The following is a 15,420-nucleotide window of genomic DNA, read 5'->3' on the forward strand; positions in this document are numbered from 1 at the left end:
TCTAGTGATCCCAGGACCCCACTCTGAAAACCAGTGATAGCCCCCATCTCGAGAAAAGGCCACACACGAGAGGCACTGCAATGAAGCCTGAACACCCCCCAACCCACTGCTTTAAGTTGAGAATTTTTCACAAAAATCCTCCCCCATCAAGAAGTTAAACTGTTTAAAAATAGGATAGTTTCCAAATACTTAAACAAGCAGTATCTTCTCCCCCAGGAGGTGTCACTTTCTGAGCTTGAGCCCTTCTACTTATTGGCCTCTTCTCCAGCCTGCTGCAGCCCTGCTCTAGAGCCCTGGACCACTTCAAACTGAGGTCAAAGTTTAAGTCAGCTGACAGGCCGAAGCCATCCCCCTGAGCAGGGGTTCCCTGCTCTCTTCCTCTCCACCTCTCCCAGTCTATATCCTTCCTCCTTCCTGGAGCCCTGAGGCTAATGAACCCAAATCCCATCTCATCTCACCCTGCATGTTACTTCTCTTGTACACACAGCCTGTTCTCCAGGAATCACCTTATTTTCCAAATAAAAATATCAGGGTATATTGTGAGCACACGGGTACTGTCACATGAATTGCTGTAATTTCAATGCTTAGAATACTTCACAATTTATAGTAAAATAATTATTTAAAATTTAGGATTATACTTATATATGGTCTGATGAGGCAGCACAGGAAATTGAGACTGTCTGGGAAAATTTATTATCTGTGATCCCTTCTGCTCTATTCTCTAATAAGTAACTTTATTTTCCAAAGGAATCCCATGTCATCCTGCAAAAGCATTTGGGGTTACTTCCAGAAACAAGGATGCGAGAGTCAGTGATAACAGCTATAGGCTGAAAACTCCATGCTGGTATTTCCAGGCTATTTCAATGGCTCAGGGAAGACTGCTGTGGGGGAAGAAAAAAAAAAATCAACCCCAGCTTCCAGACATACCTCAGTCCTTAATGGGGTAGGCCACACGTGTGGTGCAGCTCAAGTCTGTACAGCACGACTTTAGGCTGGAAAGAGCTCTCTCCCAGGCACCCAGGTATGCATTCATTCTACCGAGAGAGAAGCATCCTGACACACAGCCCTGTCCTTACCTCTAAGCATCCTTTGGAGTGCCATAACCTGGGAAAGATTCTTACTGATTTCTTTTTTGTTTGTTTTTTGAGGTAGGGTCTCACTCTATTGCCCAGGCTGGAGTGCAGTGGTGCAATTTTGGCTCACTGCAACCTCCGCCTCCCAGGTTCAAGCGATTCTCGTGCCTCAGCCTCCTGAGTTGCTGGGACTACAGGCATAGGCCACCACACCCGGATAATTTTTTGTATTTTTAGTAGAGATCTTGTTTCACCACGTTACCCAGGCTGGTCTCGAACTCCTGAGCTCAGGCAATCTGTCCACCTCGGCCTCTCAAAGTGCTAGGATTACAGGCATGAGCCACTGCGCCTGGCCTGATTTCTAATTAAGAACAAAGTTCTGGAGCCGGGCATGGTGGCTCATGCCTGTAATCCCAGCAGTTTGGGAGGCCAAGGCGGGTGGATCACGAGGTCAAGAGATCAAGACCATCCCGGCCAACATGGTGAAACCCTGTCTCTACTAAAAATACAAAAGTTAGCTGGGCGTGGTGGCACGCGCCTGTAGTCCCAGCTACTCGGGGAGTCTGAGGCAGGAGAGTCCCTTGAATCCAGGAGGTGGAGGTTGCAGTGAGCCGAGATCGCACCACTGCACTCCAGCCTGGTGACAGAGCAAGATTCCGTCTCCAAAAAAAAAAAAAACAACAAAGTTCCAGCCAGGCACAGTGGCTCACACCAGTAATCCCAGCACTTTGGGAGGCCAAGATGAGCACATCACTTGAGCTCAGGAGTTCGAGACCAGCCTGGCCAACATGGGAAACCCTATCTCTACAAAAAATACAAAAATTAGCCAGGCGCCTGTAATCCCAGCTACTCAGGAGGCGGAGGCAGGAGAATTGCTTGAACCCAGGAGGTGGAGGTTGCAGTGAGCCAAGATTGCGCCACTGCACTCCAGCCTGGGTGACAGTCAGACTCTGTCTCAAAAAAAAAAAAAAAAAAAAAGTTCCTCCAAAGTTGTGGAGAAAGAATTAATTTAGCCCTGTGGTCCAGGAGGAGCCATTAGGACTTACAGAGGTCACCATTTCCCAGTTGTCTGTACTTGTGGGTAAGCATACTAGAAACCTGGAATAAACTGAGACCTTCAGATATGCTTTGGGAGGAAATGTCAACCAAGTCTGTATTTTTTTTTTAAATGTTCAGAAATGTGGTGGTCTTGTCCTTTGATGTAGTAAAAGCACTCCTTGAAATTTAACCAAAAATAATAATTCAAAAGAAGAATCCAGGCTACACTCATGAGGACATTTATTGACGCATCTTCCTAATAGCAAAAAAACTAGAAAACATAATCACCAGACTTTGCCACAGGGGATCATATGTAGCCTTTGGAAAGGAAAAAATTTCCAAGTCCTTTTCATTTGAGTCTGTCATAATACGATGATTATTTTTCTAATTTCTAATTTTCTTTAATGTTACAACATTTTCACTAACAAATGAGGGTAAATTCCTTTCAAATGGAAGAAGTTTTCCATTAGCATCAACAAATTTATTAAGCACCCACTATTGTGCAGAATGCTTTTTTTTTTTTTTTTTTTACAGAAAAGTGCATTTTAAAACAATTTAAGCTTCAAGTTTGTCCAAGTGGTCTGTATTATCTAAATCATTCTTCCCAAGGGCCTCCAAATTACAAAGAAAGTCATGAAAAGTTAAAGATTACAGTCAGTATATGAGCTTTAAGGCTATACTAAGGTAAAGCTAGTAACATCTACTATTTTAGTAATTTTTGAATAGAAGGTACTTGCATGTGGTACAAAATTCAAGGGCTGGGAGCAGTGGCTCATGCCTGTAAACCTTGGACTTTGGGAGCTGAAGGCAAGAGGATCGCTTGAGCCCAGGAGTTTGTGGCCAGCCTAGGCAACATAGCGAGACCGTCTCAAAAATAAAATAAAATAAAATAAAATACAAAAGGTACAAACAGTTATACAGCAGAAAATGTCTCCCTGACACCCTGGCCCTCGGCCACCCAGCTCCCCAACTTGTATCATTCCAGAGATATTCTGTATCACTATCAGTCTGTTGTCTGTTCTGGTTGCTATAACCAAATACCGTAAAAAGGGTAATTTTTTTTTTTTTTTTTTTTTTTGAGACGGAGTCTCGCTCTGTCGCCCAGGCTGGAGTGCAGTGGCGCAATCTTGGCTCACTGCAAGCTCCGCCTCCTGGGTTCACGCTATTCTCCTGCCTCAGCCTCCTGAGTAGCTGGGACTACAGGCGCCTGCCACCACACCCGGCTAATTTTTTATATTTTTCATTGAGACCGGGTTTCACCGTGTTAGCCAGGATGGTCTTGATCTCCTGACCTTGTGATCTGCCCGCCTCGGCCTCCCAGAGTGCTGGGATTACAGGTGTAAGCCACCGCGCCTGGCCAAAATGGGTAATTTATAAATAGAAATTTATTGCTCATAGTTCTGGAGGCTGGAAACTCCAAGATCCAGGTGCCAGCAGATTCAGTATCTGAGTGAGGGCCCATTCTTCACAGACGGCACTTTCTATGTGTCCTCACATGGCAGAATGAGCAAGGACACTCCCTTCAAACTCTTTTAAAAGGGCACTAATCCCATTCATGAGGGCTGAGCCCTCATGACTTAATTACTTCCCAAAAGGCTCCACCTCTTAATACTATCACACTGGGTGTTAGGTTCCAACATCTGAATTTTGGGGGAATGCCAACATTCAGACCATAGCAACCTCCAACAGGCTTTGATGACGTGGTGTCTTGAGACGCTGAGCTAGGGAGCATGGTGGGCTCACCAGCACTGTAATACTACCATTATCCCCAACTTACAATCCCCAAGTGAGAGACCTGCAGGAGATCTGCTTGTGGCCTGAGTGAACAAGTAGCTTGCCAAAAGTCTCATGGCCGATAAGAGATACGAAGTCCATCATACTCTCAGAAACACTCCCCTCAACACACACACACACACACACACACATTCTACCCTAAACAAGGGTGACTTCATGTCATTGTTCTCTCTCCCTGGAACATACCTCCATAAACCATCACTAGCCCTTTGCCTGGCTAATATAAAGTTTAGAATCAGCATTCTTCTATCTACAAAAAAACCTTGCTAGGATTTTGGGATCGTATTAAACCTATAGATCATTTGTGGAGAACTAATATTTTAACTATATTGAGTTTTCCAATCCTAATGAACACAGAATGCCTGTCTACTTATTTTGGTCATCTTTGATTTCTTACTTCAGTGTTTTGTAGTTTTCAGTGAGCAGATTCTATACATGTTTTGTGAGATTTATATCTAAGAATTTCATTCTTTTGAGTGCTGTTATAACTGATATTGGTTTTTTTGTTTTAATTTCCAATGATTTATTGCTAGGATATAAAAATACTATTGGTTATCGTGTGTTGACCTTATATCCTGTAACCTTGCTAACTCACTTATTAGTTCTAGGAGGTTTTTTATAGATTCCCATGTGATTATCTACCTAATCATGCCATATGCGAATAGGGACAGTTTTATTTATTTCTGATCTGTACGTCTCCTATTAATTTTTTTGCAACGGCTAGGACTTCCAGTATGATCTTGAATATGAGTGGTAACAGTAAACATCATTGCCTGTTTCCCATCATGGGGGAAAGCATTCATTCTTTCCCCACTGTAACATTATATATTACAGTATAATGTTAGCTGTAGATTTTTTGTAGATGCCCTTTTTCAGGTTGAAGAAGTTCCTTTCTCTTCCAAGTTTGCTGACAGCATTTATTATGGAAAAGTACTGAATTTTGTCAAAAGTTTTTTTTTTCTGCATCAAATGATAGAATCATGTGGCTTTGGGTTTTGTTTTGTTTTTGAGAAACGGTCTCACTCTGTTGCCCAGGCTGGAGTGTAGTGGCACGATCGCGGCTCACCGCAGCCTTGACCTCCTGGGCTCAAGCAATTCTCCCACCTTAGCCTACAGCTGGGACTACAGGCATGCACAACCATGTCATGCTAATTTTTGTATTTTTTGTAGAGAAGGGGATTCACCATGTTGCCCAGGCTGGTCTTGAACTCCTGGGCTCAAGCAATCCACCTGCCTCGGCCTCCCAAAGTGCTGGGACTACAGACATAAGCCACTGTGCCTGGCCTGTTATTTTAAGTTATTAATATGGTGTACACCTATAACATTTACTTTCAAAAACTGCACCAACCTTTTTGTTCCTGGGATAAATCAAATTGGTTTGGTGTATTATTCTTTCTCCATTATGCTGGGTTTTATTTTCTATATGGTATTTTGTTGAGGATTTCTGTGTCTGTGTTCATATAAGGAATATTGGTCTGTAGTATCATTTTCTTGAACTGTCTTTGTGTGGTTTTGTAAAACACATGTACGCTCTACATTTAACAACTTCTTTTGAGATCGTGGATTATAATTTCACTATTTTTAATCATCAAAAAAACTTAAGAGTAATTATAACTTTGCTTTTCTGCCAGAATTTATTTGACTCCAAGTCCTTGATCAGGAAGACAACTCCTAAAGATAACAATCTTCCTAAAGGAAAATGGGACTGTTTTACAAGGAGCCACAGAATGGTGGATCTGAGAATCCAACATAGAGAAACCCACTGCTTCATCTACCATTATGCGCTTGTATATGCATGACTTCAGGGATAAATGGGAGCCAGAAGTACAAAGGAATCTTCAGTAGTAAACAAAACGCAGAACCCTTCACGGTTTGACCAGGGTCATTGTGTGTCTGCCTGGTCATTTGACCAGCTCTTACGAATCAGGAACCCAGCTGAACCTCAGTTGAACCAGCCCCTCCAACAGAACTGAGGGGATTTGGGGCTGATAAGCTCAGTGCTATGTCTACAGCCAGTCATTTCTCAAAGTTGCAGCTTTGTAAATGTAGCTATATTTGTGTTGCATATGATTTCTATAATGTATTACTGCCCCACCCCTGCACATCCTCCAGAGAACAGTAACCAGCCAGGGATTGTGCTGACTGGCTTGAGATTTAAAAAACTAACAAGGTTTCCACCAAATAAAAGAGATGCCATTACCCACCCCTGAAGTGCAAATACTCACATTTGTTTTTGAGTTACGTAAGAAAGCAACTATCAAACATTAACCTCTTAATTCTTACAATTCCTAAAATGGTCAATTAGTCATTACTACCCATACTGTACAACTGAGGAACCCAGATTCGATGAGATTAAGAGACATCAAAATCAGCTGAGCTAAAATTTGCATTTAAACATTTCCAGGCCAGGCGCAGTGGCTCACACCTGTAATCCCAGCACTTTGGGAGACCAAAACAGCAGGATTGCTTGAGCTCAGGAGTTCGAGATTAGCCTCTAGTTTGAGGCAACATAGCAAGACCTCGTCTCTACAAAAATAAAAAAAAAAATAGCAGGGCATAGTGGCACATGCCTGTAGTCCTGGCTATTCAGGAGGCTGAGGCAGGAGGCTCCCTTGAGCCCAGAAGTTCGAGGTTACAGTGAGCTATGATCATGCCACTGCATTCCAGCCTGCAGTGACAGAACAAAAATCTGTCTTAAAAAAAAAATTCCTATTACCCATCTTTTGTTATTAAAAAGTCCTATACAAATACATTGTCAGAAAGTCATCTAGGCATGGGAAGGGCTCAAGAAAGGGATGTGGATCAGGTGCGGTGGCTCACGCCTGTAATCCCAGTTTGCGACCAACCTGGGCAACACAGTCTCATTAGACTGTCTTTATTCATTTAAAAAAAAAATTCACACAAGGAGGAAGAAGATAATTTAAATCAGTTGTTTAACCACACTAGACATTCTCCCCAACTAAGAGATACGTACAGGTTTCATTTTGAAAAGATATAGGCGGAGGTAAGTGACTCATGCCTGTAATCTCAGCACTTTGGGAAGCCGAAGAGGAAGGATTGCTTGAGCTCACGAGTTTGAAACCAACCTGGGCAACACAGGGAGACCCTATCTCTACAAAAAATTTAAAAATTAGCTAGGCATAGTGGCATACACCTGTAGTCCCAGCTAGTTGGAGGGCTGAGGTGGAAGGATCACCTGAGCCCAGGAGGTCGAGGCTGCAGTAACCTATGATTGTACCACTGCACTCCAGCCTGGGCACAGAGCAGGACCTTGTCTCAAAAAGAAAAAGAAAAGATAAAATCTATGCAACTGCACCGTTTAATTTTTTCATAATGTTTCAGATTAGCTTTAGTATCCAATCACATTCCATTAAAAATACCAATTTAACTTAAATCATAAGGAATTAAACTATCTTTAATTCAAACACATAATTATGTTTTTGGTGATATTTTCACACAGTTTCTTTAGAGACAGGCATTGTTAGCACTATGACAGCTAACATTTATTGCACATCAGTTAGATACCTAATACGGTAGGTACTAACTTACACATATTATTTCATTTTCTTAATCCTTTGAGGGAGGTATTGGCAGTCTCATTTTACCGAAAAATCTCAGCTTTAAGGTTGACTATTTATCGAAAGCTGGTTGCTAGCACCTGTGTGAGGTTTTGTTGTTTTTTTTTTTGAGATGGAGTCTTGCTCTGTCACTCAGGCTGGAATGCAAGGGCACAATCTCAGCTCACTGCAACCTCTGCCTCCCAGGTTCAAGCGCTTCTCCTGCCTCAGCCTCTGGAGTATCTGGGATTACAGGCACTCGCTATATGCCTGGCTAATTTTTTGTATTTTTGTAGAGATGTGGTTTCACCATGGTGGCCAGGCTAGTCTTGAACTCCTGACCTCAAGTGATCCAGCCACCTCGGACTCCCAAAGTGCTGGCATTACAGGCGTGAGCCCGGCCTGTTGCAAGGTTAACACTGAAAGGATATAGAAAGGTAAGTCTCAAACTTTAATGTACACGTGGATCACCTGGGGAATCTTGTTTAAATGCAGATGACTCAGAAGTTCTGGGGTAAGGCCACTGATTCTGCATTTCTAACAAGCCCTTAGGTGATGGCAATGCTGCTGGCCTAAGGCCAAACTTGGAATAGCAAGGATCTACAGGTTGCAATAGGCCACAAAAAACACCACCAAAAAGTCTACAGCCCAACGCAGGGGCTCACGCCTGTAACCCCAACACTTTGGGAGACCAAGATGGGCAGATCACTTGAGGTCAGGAGTTCAAGACCAGCCTGGCCAACATGGGGAAACCCCATCTCTACTAAAAAATAGAAAACTTAGCCGGGCGTGCTAGTGGGCGCCTGTAATCCCAGCTACCTGGGAGGCTGAGGCAGGAGAATCACTTGAACCTGGGAGGTGGAGGCTGCAGTGAGCCAAGATCTTGCCACTGCACTGCAGCCTGGGTGACAGAGCAAGACTCCATCTCAAAAAAAAAAAAAAATCTAAAAAAACTAAATTTATGGCCAGTCGCAGTAGCTCACGCCTATAATCCCAGCACTTTGGGAGACTGAGGCGGGTGGATCACCTAACGTCAGAAGTTTGAGACCAGCCTAGCCAACATGACGAAACCCCGTCTCCACTAAAAATACAAAAATTAGCCAGGCATGGTGGCAGGCGCCAGTAATCCCAGCTACTCGGGAGGCTGAGGCTGGAGAATTGCTTGAACCCAGGAGGCGGAGATTGCAGTTAGCTGAGATGGTGCCATTGCACTCCATCCTGGGCATCAAGAACAAAAGTCTAACACAAAGAAAAAAAAAACATACACACCACTAAATTTATTTTTAGACATGGGATCTTGCTACGTTGCCCAAGCTGGAGCACAGTGGCTACTCCGAGGCACCATAATAGCTCCCTGTGACCTTGAACTCCTAGGCTCAAGCAGTCCCCCCACCTCAGCTTCCTGATTTTTAAAAGTCAAATTTTTCTCCAAACCGCAGAGTTAGAACTTACTCATATTTCTTGATGGATTCTGAGTTTTGTAACATCTCAGAAGTATCTTCATAATGACTTCTTATTTTCTTTTCAGTTTAAATTTAGAGTCCAATTTCTTGGAGTTTTGTGGGATTTTCATCAAGGCTGGGAAGCCAACTACACCAAAACCATTTGAAGTTGCCATACCCTTCAAGCAGGTCCCTTTCCTTTACTCACCCACATATAACCTCTCAGAGTTTAAGTTCTAGAGATTAACAAACAACAGAGTTAGGCGAGATTCTGGGGGCTAGGCCCAAAAGTTCTTCCGGATGAAAAGTACAAATCTAGGCCAGGCGTGGTGGCTCACGTCTGTAATCCAGGCACATTGGGAGGCCGAGGCGGGCAGATGACCTGAGCTCAGGAGTTCGAGACCAGCCTGGGCAACATAGTGAAACCCCGTCTCTACCAAAAATACAAAAAATTAGCTGGGCATGGTGGTGTGCGTCTGTGGTCCCAGCTACTTGGGAGGCTGAGGTGGGTGGGTCTCTTGAGCCCAGGTGGCGGAGGTTGCAGTGAGCCAAGATTGTGCCACTGCACTCCAGCCTGGGTAACAGAGTTAGACCCAGTGTTTAAAAAAGAAAGAAAAAGAAAGAGTGAGAAGAAAGAGAGAGGGAGAGAGCGCGAGGGAGAGAAAGAGAAAAGAGAAAAGAAAAGAAAAAAAGAAAAGAACAACGCTACAACAAAACAGTACCTTACCAAAAAGTAATGATAAATGCCACAGGCTTCCATCCCTGGACTTAGGTGATAAACTCCTAGCAATGCAGTAATAACTAACAGTCTACAAACTAGATTTCAATTCTTTTACTAGATCCTTTTAGGGACAAGTTCTATTTACTTTCAAACTCCCACAGTGCAAACAAAGCAAGGTATTTGACCAAGCCCTGCTCTTTTCTTATTCATTTCTAATTATCTGTACGGGCTGCTGGCACCCCATACTCAAACATTGGCTAGCTGCCTCTTTTAAAAGGCAATTGCAGGCAGGGTGTGGTGGCTCACGCTTGTAATCCCAGCACTTTGGGAGGCCGAGGTGGGCGGATCATAAGGTAAGGAGTTCGAGACCAGCCTGGCCAGGCCAACACAGCAAAACCCCGTCTCTACTAAAATTACAAAAATTAGCTGGGCGTGGTGGTGGGCGCCTGTAATCCCAGCTACTCGGGAGGCTGAGGCAGGAGAATCGCTTGAACCCGGGAGGCAGAGGTGGCAGTGAGCCAAGATTGTGTCACTGCACTCCAGCCTGGGCGACAGAGCTAGACTCCATCTCAAAAAAAAAAAAAAAAAAAAAAGGCAATTGCACACCTCCCTTCACCTCCTACATTCTCTTTGCTAACAGCAACGCCAAACTAAAAACCAATGCATCTTTGAAAACATTCCAGTTTACCAGATAAGGTAAATTTAAAATTCTGAAGACAGATTATCTGATCCATTTTTCTTTCCATAAAGCCCTTCAAAAATACCCTCTGGCAGTCAGCAGAACAAGCCTTTCACCCAAGAGAGACATAAAATAGCCTATGATTCTGTCATTTACAAACGCCAGGACATTTATTTAAAGGGTATCCACACATTATATTATTCCCAAGGAATGCTTATGCACTCAAGTAGGAAAAGGAGGACCAGGCCTGGCACGGTGGCTCATGCCTGTAATCCCAGCACTTTGGGAAACCAAGGAGGGGTGATCGCTTGAGCCCAGTAGTTGGAGACCAGTCTGGGCAACATGGTGAAACCCCATCTCTACTAAAAATACAAAAATTAACCCGGCATGGTGGAACGTGCTTGTAGTCCCAGCTACTCGGGAAGCTGAGGTGAGAAGATCGCTTGAGCCTGGGAGGTCGAACCTGCAGTGAGCCACGATCGCACCAGTGCACTCCACCCTGGGCGACAGAGACCCGGTCTCAAAAAAGAGAGAGAGAGAGAACAAGAACAAGTGGCTTCTCTGGCTATGAGAAGTCTATAAAGTTTTGAGGCCGGTGGCCTCAGAAGGCCTACCTGTGACAGAGAATGTTGGGGGGACACACGGGTTTTTCTGAATTAGAGCATGCCCACAACAGAGCTAAGCAATTGCCCGCAGAGGCATGTTACAAAACCACAAAGCAGGAACAGAGCTGAGAGGCCCCTGCCCAGAACACCCTGGAAGCTAAAACACAGGACCCTGAGAAATGAGCTCTACTACAGACAAGTCCAACAGAAAGTTCTCTGTTTCTGCTACCTCCAAAACTGGCTGCCCTCCCAGATTTAACTCTGGGTACCAATTGGGCAGTGCCAGCCACCGTGCTGGGCGGTGGATTCCGGGATGCCAAGTCTGTCTTCTTGGTTAGAAGGACACAAACCTCTGCAGTGTAGAGAATTGTGGGCATATCTGGGCTCCTCCACTGCATCAGGGCTACCTGCCTCCATCCAGCAAATACTTACTAAGCGCCTACCATATACGCCTGGCACCCAGCTAGACATCAAGTGGGAACCAAACCACAGTCCCTCGTCTCCGCAGGCAGAAACAGGCACCGTCCGGAGGTTGCGCGGGCCGGGAAAACCTGCCACAGGTTGCTAAGACCAGCTGTACCCAGGAGACAGCAGGATTCCCAGCAGCACCCAGCCCAGTAACGCCACAGACTCCCGGGAGCGAGGGCGGAGCGGACAGGTAGGCCCGAAGGCAGGTGCTCAGGTAGGAGGCGCACACCTGAGGCTGCCGGCCTGGGAAGGGCAGGCTCTGGCCGAAGGCGGGGTCCCCAGAGAAGGCTGCAGAGTGGTCCCGGGACCCCACGAGGGAGAGGGGGCGCGAGGAGCGGGCTCCGGCCTGGGCAAGCGGGTACGCGGCGGAGGCCCCGCAGCGGGGCGGGGAGGGAGGCGTGCGGCTAGGCCGCCCTCGGGCACCTGGGGCCCCGCCCGGCACCTACCACTTGGGCGACCTTGAGGCGGCCGAGCGCGCCGCGCAGGTAGTCGGGGTCGCAGCGCAGGCCGGCCAGCCCGCGGCGCTGGCTCACCGGCTCGGTGGTGGGCTGGTACGGGCTGCTGGCGCCCGAGATCATGGAGGTGCTCGAGGCCTCGCCCTCGAAGCCGTCCAGCTCCTCGCCGCTCCGCATGCTGCCGCCCGGCCCGGGCCGCCTCGCGCGGCTGGCTCCCGGCGCCAGGAGCGGGCGGACTCAGCGGGGCCGCCGCATCGCCGCCGCCGCCGCCGCCGCCGCCGCCCGACTGACTGCCCGCGGCCCGCCCGCCGCCGCCGCCTCTCGCCCGCCGCCCGGCTGCGGCTGCGGCTCGGTCCGCTCGGGCTCGGCTCCCGCCGCCTCGGCAGCGGAAAGGGAGGGAGGTGGGAGCCAGGAGAGGGAAGGAGGCGGGAGCGGGCGCGCCGGGCCGGGAGAGGCGGAGCCAGGCCGCAGCCGGCCGCTCGGAGGCGCTCCGCGGCTCGAGCGAGGTGGAGGCGGCGGCGCCGCGGGCCTCGGGGAGGGGCGGGGCGAGGCGGGGCGCCGGCTCCTCAGGCCCCGCCCTGGCCCCGCCCCCACCTGCGCCTAGAGCCGGGGCGGGAGCCGCTGGTGGGCGCTGGCGATCCCGGCACGCGGGGCGATGGGGTTCAGGCAGCGGGGTCTTGGGGCTGAGGAAAGGGTCGAGGTGGACCTGGAGGCCATGGAGTTGCTTTCCCAGACGCTGCCTCAGGTTCTCCTTTGAAGAAAGTGGGGTCCTCGACGCATAGGGTGGGGAGCTTCTCGGTAAAGACAGAGACGGGCTGCGCCACCCGGGTGCCGGGAACGGTGCGTGGCCAGGGTGGGCTTGACTCAGACTATTGGGCCGACGAGAGGTGGGTAAGTGCCTGTGTTCTCACGCTGGGCGCCTGGAACAAACCGGTTCCGAGGCCAGGGGCGGGCGGGGCAGGGTGAGGAGCCGCCCCACTGCAGGTTGTCCCCGCCGGCCTGACCCAGGCGACTGACATGTTCCTCTCCTCTCAGCTGAAAAGCTTTGCTAGCTCTGTCTACGCATAAAGTAAGGTTAAACACAGATTTTGCCCCGAAGGGCATTAATTAGGGACCAATTTACAATTCAAGTGTGAAGGCTAATTTTAAGCTAAGTAAAACACTGACTAAGAAGTGTCGCTTTGATATTGAACCCTTCCACAACCACAAATACCGAGAGCTTGCCATGTTCTAGGCACTGAGCAAGGCGCTTGAAGAACGTATCGTTGTTATTTCTATTTTACAGAAGAAGAGACTAAGGCTGCAGACTGGAAGTAGCTTGTCCAAGGTCACACAGTTCATTGGTGGGCAGAGCCCAGGTTCCTACTTTTTCTTTTTTTAAAAAAAAGTTATTTATTATTTTCATCATCATTATTTTTGTAGAGATAGGGCCTCACTGTGTTGCCCAGGCTGATCTCGAACTCCCGGGCTCAGGGGATCCTCCTGCCTCAGCCTCCCAAATTGCTGGGATTACAGGTGTGACTGACCATGCCCAGCCCTCAACTTTTTCAAAGATAGGAAGGACAGTGACTCTAATACTGTTGTCCTTCTGTATGGGGGCAAGAGAGGGAGCTTGTTTTCAGGACCCCCTCAAATACCAAAATCTGAAGATGCTCTCAAATCCTTTATATAAAATGGTGTAGTATTTACATATAACCTACACACATCTTCTCGTATACTTTAAATAATTGTTCTACTGTATTACTTTTTATCTATATTTTTGTGTGTGCGTGTGTGTGTTGTTTGGGGGTTTTTTGTGTGTGTGTTTTCTGAGACAGAGTCTTGCTCATCACCCAGGCTGGAGCGCTGTGGTGAGATCTCTGCTTACAGCAACCTCCACCTCAAGCGATTCTCCCACCTCAGCCTCCCGAGCAGCTGGGACCACCACGCCCAGCTAATTTTGGCATTTTTAGTAGAGACAGGGTTTCACCATGTTGGCCAGGCAGATCTCAAACTACTGGCCTCAAGTGATCTACCCACCTCAGCCTCCCAAAGGGCTGGGATTACAGATGTGAGCCACCGTGCCCCACCTGTTTTTCTGTTTTGTTTTGTTTTGTTTGTTTTTAAAATAGACTTTTCACTCTGTCATCCAGGCTGGAGTACAGTGGTACAATCATAGCTCACTGTAACCTCGACCCCCTAGACTTAAGCAATCCTCCTGTCTCAGCCTTCTAAGTAACTGGGACTACAGGCATGCCACCACCATGCCTGGCTAAATTGTTTTTTCTTTCTTTTTTTTTGGAGATGGGGTCTCATTATGTTGCCCAGGCTGGTCTCAAACTTCTGGTCTCAGCAGTCCTCCCACTTCAGCCTCCCAAAGTGCTGGGATTACAGGCATGAGCCACCACATCCAGCTTATTTTTTATTGTTTTTTCCAAATAATTTTTTTTTTTGAGACGGAGTCTCATTCTGTCACCCAGTGGCATGATTGCTGCGCACTACAACCTCCACCTCCCAGGTTCAAGCAATTATTCATGCTTCAGCCTCCTGTGTAGCTGGGATTACAGGTACCGACTAACACGCCTGGCTAATTTTTGTGATTTTAGTAGAGACGGGGTTTTGCCATGTTGGCCAGGCTGGTCTTGAATTCCTGACCTCGAGTGATCTGCCCACCTTGGCCTCCCAAAGTGCTGTGATTACAGGCATAAGCCACTGTGCCCAGCCTATTTTATTCCAAATTTTTTTTTATCAGCAGTTGGTTGAATCCATAGCTGCAGAAACCACAGATATAGAGGACTGACCCTAAATCAACAAATATTTATTGGGCACTTACTATGGATTAAGCAATATACTAAGAACTTGAGATAGACAATGGTGCTAGACGGTGGTGACATTGAGTGGTTGGATGTAGACTCTTGCCTCTGCTTTCTCCCAAAATCCCAGTGAAATGACAGTTACAGGGATTTTTTTGAGGGGGTGGGGTTGGGCATTAAACTGTTGGGATAAAGAATGGCAAAGGAGGCAGGGCACCATGGTGCATGCCTGTAATCCTAGCACTTTGGGAGGCTGAGGTGGCAGTTCACTTGAGGTCAAGAGTTCAAAACCAGCCTGGCCAACATGTTGAAACCTTGTCTCTACTAAAAATAAAAAAAAAAAAAAAAAAAAAAAAATTAGCCATACATGGTGGCGAGCGCCTGTAATCCCAGCTACTCGGGAGGCTGAGGCAGGAGAATCACTTGAACCTGGGAGGTGGAGGTTGCAGTGAGCTGAGATCACCCCACTGTACTCCAGCCTGGGCTACCAAAAAAAAAAAAAATGGAATGGGAAAGGAGACAATGGCAACAAAATGTTGGAAGCTGGGAAGCAAATGGGCAACTGTAACTTAGCAGATCCAAGAAAGCCAAACCCTAAACTGGCAGGGGAAAGGCTGAAATATTATGCAGCACAGGTTATATCACAGAACAAAAGGCTCAGGAATGGGCAGCACCAAGTAAGTGTAGAGTTAGGGGGTGAAGGCAGGAGTAATAAACAAGAAGAGCAAGTGAAAGTCTTTTAAAGAAGCAAGTGGATCCCTAGATCCCTTTTCACACCCATCCCCCAAGACTGGAG

The 15,420-nt window shown here is 47.1% G+C and overlaps 1 protein-coding gene across 6 annotated transcripts in view, besides 9 other annotated features; it reads right to left on the reverse strand.

The window, feature by feature from the left end:
* Positions 1 to 12,227, reverse strand: part of CMTM4 (CKLF like MARVEL transmembrane domain containing 4) — a 98,566-nt gene extending 86,339 nt beyond the window's left edge. For 5 of the 6 annotated variants that reach the window (XR_933209.3, XR_933210.3, XM_017022954.2 and 2 more), the window contains exon 1: positions 11,824 to 12,227. Coding sequence is in view for 4 of the 6 variants with exons in the window: in XM_017022954.2 (XP_016878443.1) it covers positions 11,824 to 12,009 (186 nt within the window). In the remaining 2 variants the exon portion in view is untranslated. The remainder of the gene's footprint in view (positions 1 to 11,823) is intronic. The other variant, XM_011522882.2, reaches the window with a different exon arrangement.
* Positions 7,132 to 7,811: an enhancer, noted in NCBI's record as "H3K27ac-H3K4me1 hESC enhancer chr16:66725551-66726230 (GRCh37/hg19 assembly coordinates)". NCBI's record gives its function as "activates a minimal SCP1, AML or CMV promoter by ChIP-STARR-seq in primed H9 embryonic stem cells {active_cell/tissue: H9 hESC(primed)}" and the evidence as "EXISTENCE:reporter gene assay evidence [ECO:0000049][PMID:30033119]".
* Positions 7,812 to 8,491: an enhancer, noted in NCBI's record as "H3K27ac-H3K4me1 hESC enhancer chr16:66726231-66726910 (GRCh37/hg19 assembly coordinates)". NCBI's record gives its function as "activates a minimal SCP1, AML or CMV promoter by ChIP-STARR-seq in primed H9 embryonic stem cells {active_cell/tissue: H9 hESC(primed)}" and the evidence as "EXISTENCE:reporter gene assay evidence [ECO:0000049][PMID:30033119]".
* Positions 8,492 to 9,171: an enhancer, noted in NCBI's record as "H3K27ac-H3K4me1 hESC enhancer chr16:66726911-66727590 (GRCh37/hg19 assembly coordinates)". NCBI's record gives its function as "activates a minimal SCP1, AML or CMV promoter by ChIP-STARR-seq in primed H9 embryonic stem cells {active_cell/tissue: H9 hESC(primed)}" and the evidence as "EXISTENCE:reporter gene assay evidence [ECO:0000049][PMID:30033119]".
* Positions 11,430 to 12,269: an enhancer, noted in NCBI's record as "H3K27ac hESC enhancer chr16:66729849-66730688 (GRCh37/hg19 assembly coordinates)". NCBI's record gives its function as "activates a minimal SCP1, AML or CMV promoter by ChIP-STARR-seq in naive H9 embryonic stem cells {active_cell/tissue: H9 hESC(naive)}" and the evidence as "EXISTENCE:reporter gene assay evidence [ECO:0000049][PMID:30033119]".
* Positions 11,430 to 12,459: a biological region, named in NCBI's record as "H3K27ac hESC enhancer GRCh37_chr16:66729849-66730688".
* Positions 11,740 to 12,029: a silencer, noted in NCBI's record as "silent region_7563". NCBI's record gives its function as "represses an Ori minimal core promoter by ATAC-STARR-seq in GM12878 lymphoblastoid cells {active_cell/tissue: GM12878}" and the evidence as "EXISTENCE:reporter gene assay evidence [ECO:0000049][PMID:35858748]".
* Positions 12,120 to 12,459: a silencer, noted in NCBI's record as "silent region_7564". NCBI's record gives its function as "represses an Ori minimal core promoter by ATAC-STARR-seq in GM12878 lymphoblastoid cells {active_cell/tissue: GM12878}" and the evidence as "EXISTENCE:reporter gene assay evidence [ECO:0000049][PMID:35858748]".
* Positions 12,700 to 12,759: a silencer, noted in NCBI's record as "silent region_7565". NCBI's record gives its function as "represses an Ori minimal core promoter by ATAC-STARR-seq in GM12878 lymphoblastoid cells {active_cell/tissue: GM12878}" and the evidence as "EXISTENCE:reporter gene assay evidence [ECO:0000049][PMID:35858748]".
* Positions 12,790 to 12,869: a silencer, noted in NCBI's record as "silent region_7566". NCBI's record gives its function as "represses an Ori minimal core promoter by ATAC-STARR-seq in GM12878 lymphoblastoid cells {active_cell/tissue: GM12878}" and the evidence as "EXISTENCE:reporter gene assay evidence [ECO:0000049][PMID:35858748]".

This window comes from Homo sapiens, chromosome 16 (genome assembly GCF_000001405.40).
Source record: "Homo sapiens chromosome 16, GRCh38.p14 Primary Assembly".
Lineage (NCBI taxonomy): Eukaryota > Metazoa > Chordata > Mammalia > Primates > Hominidae > Homo > Homo sapiens.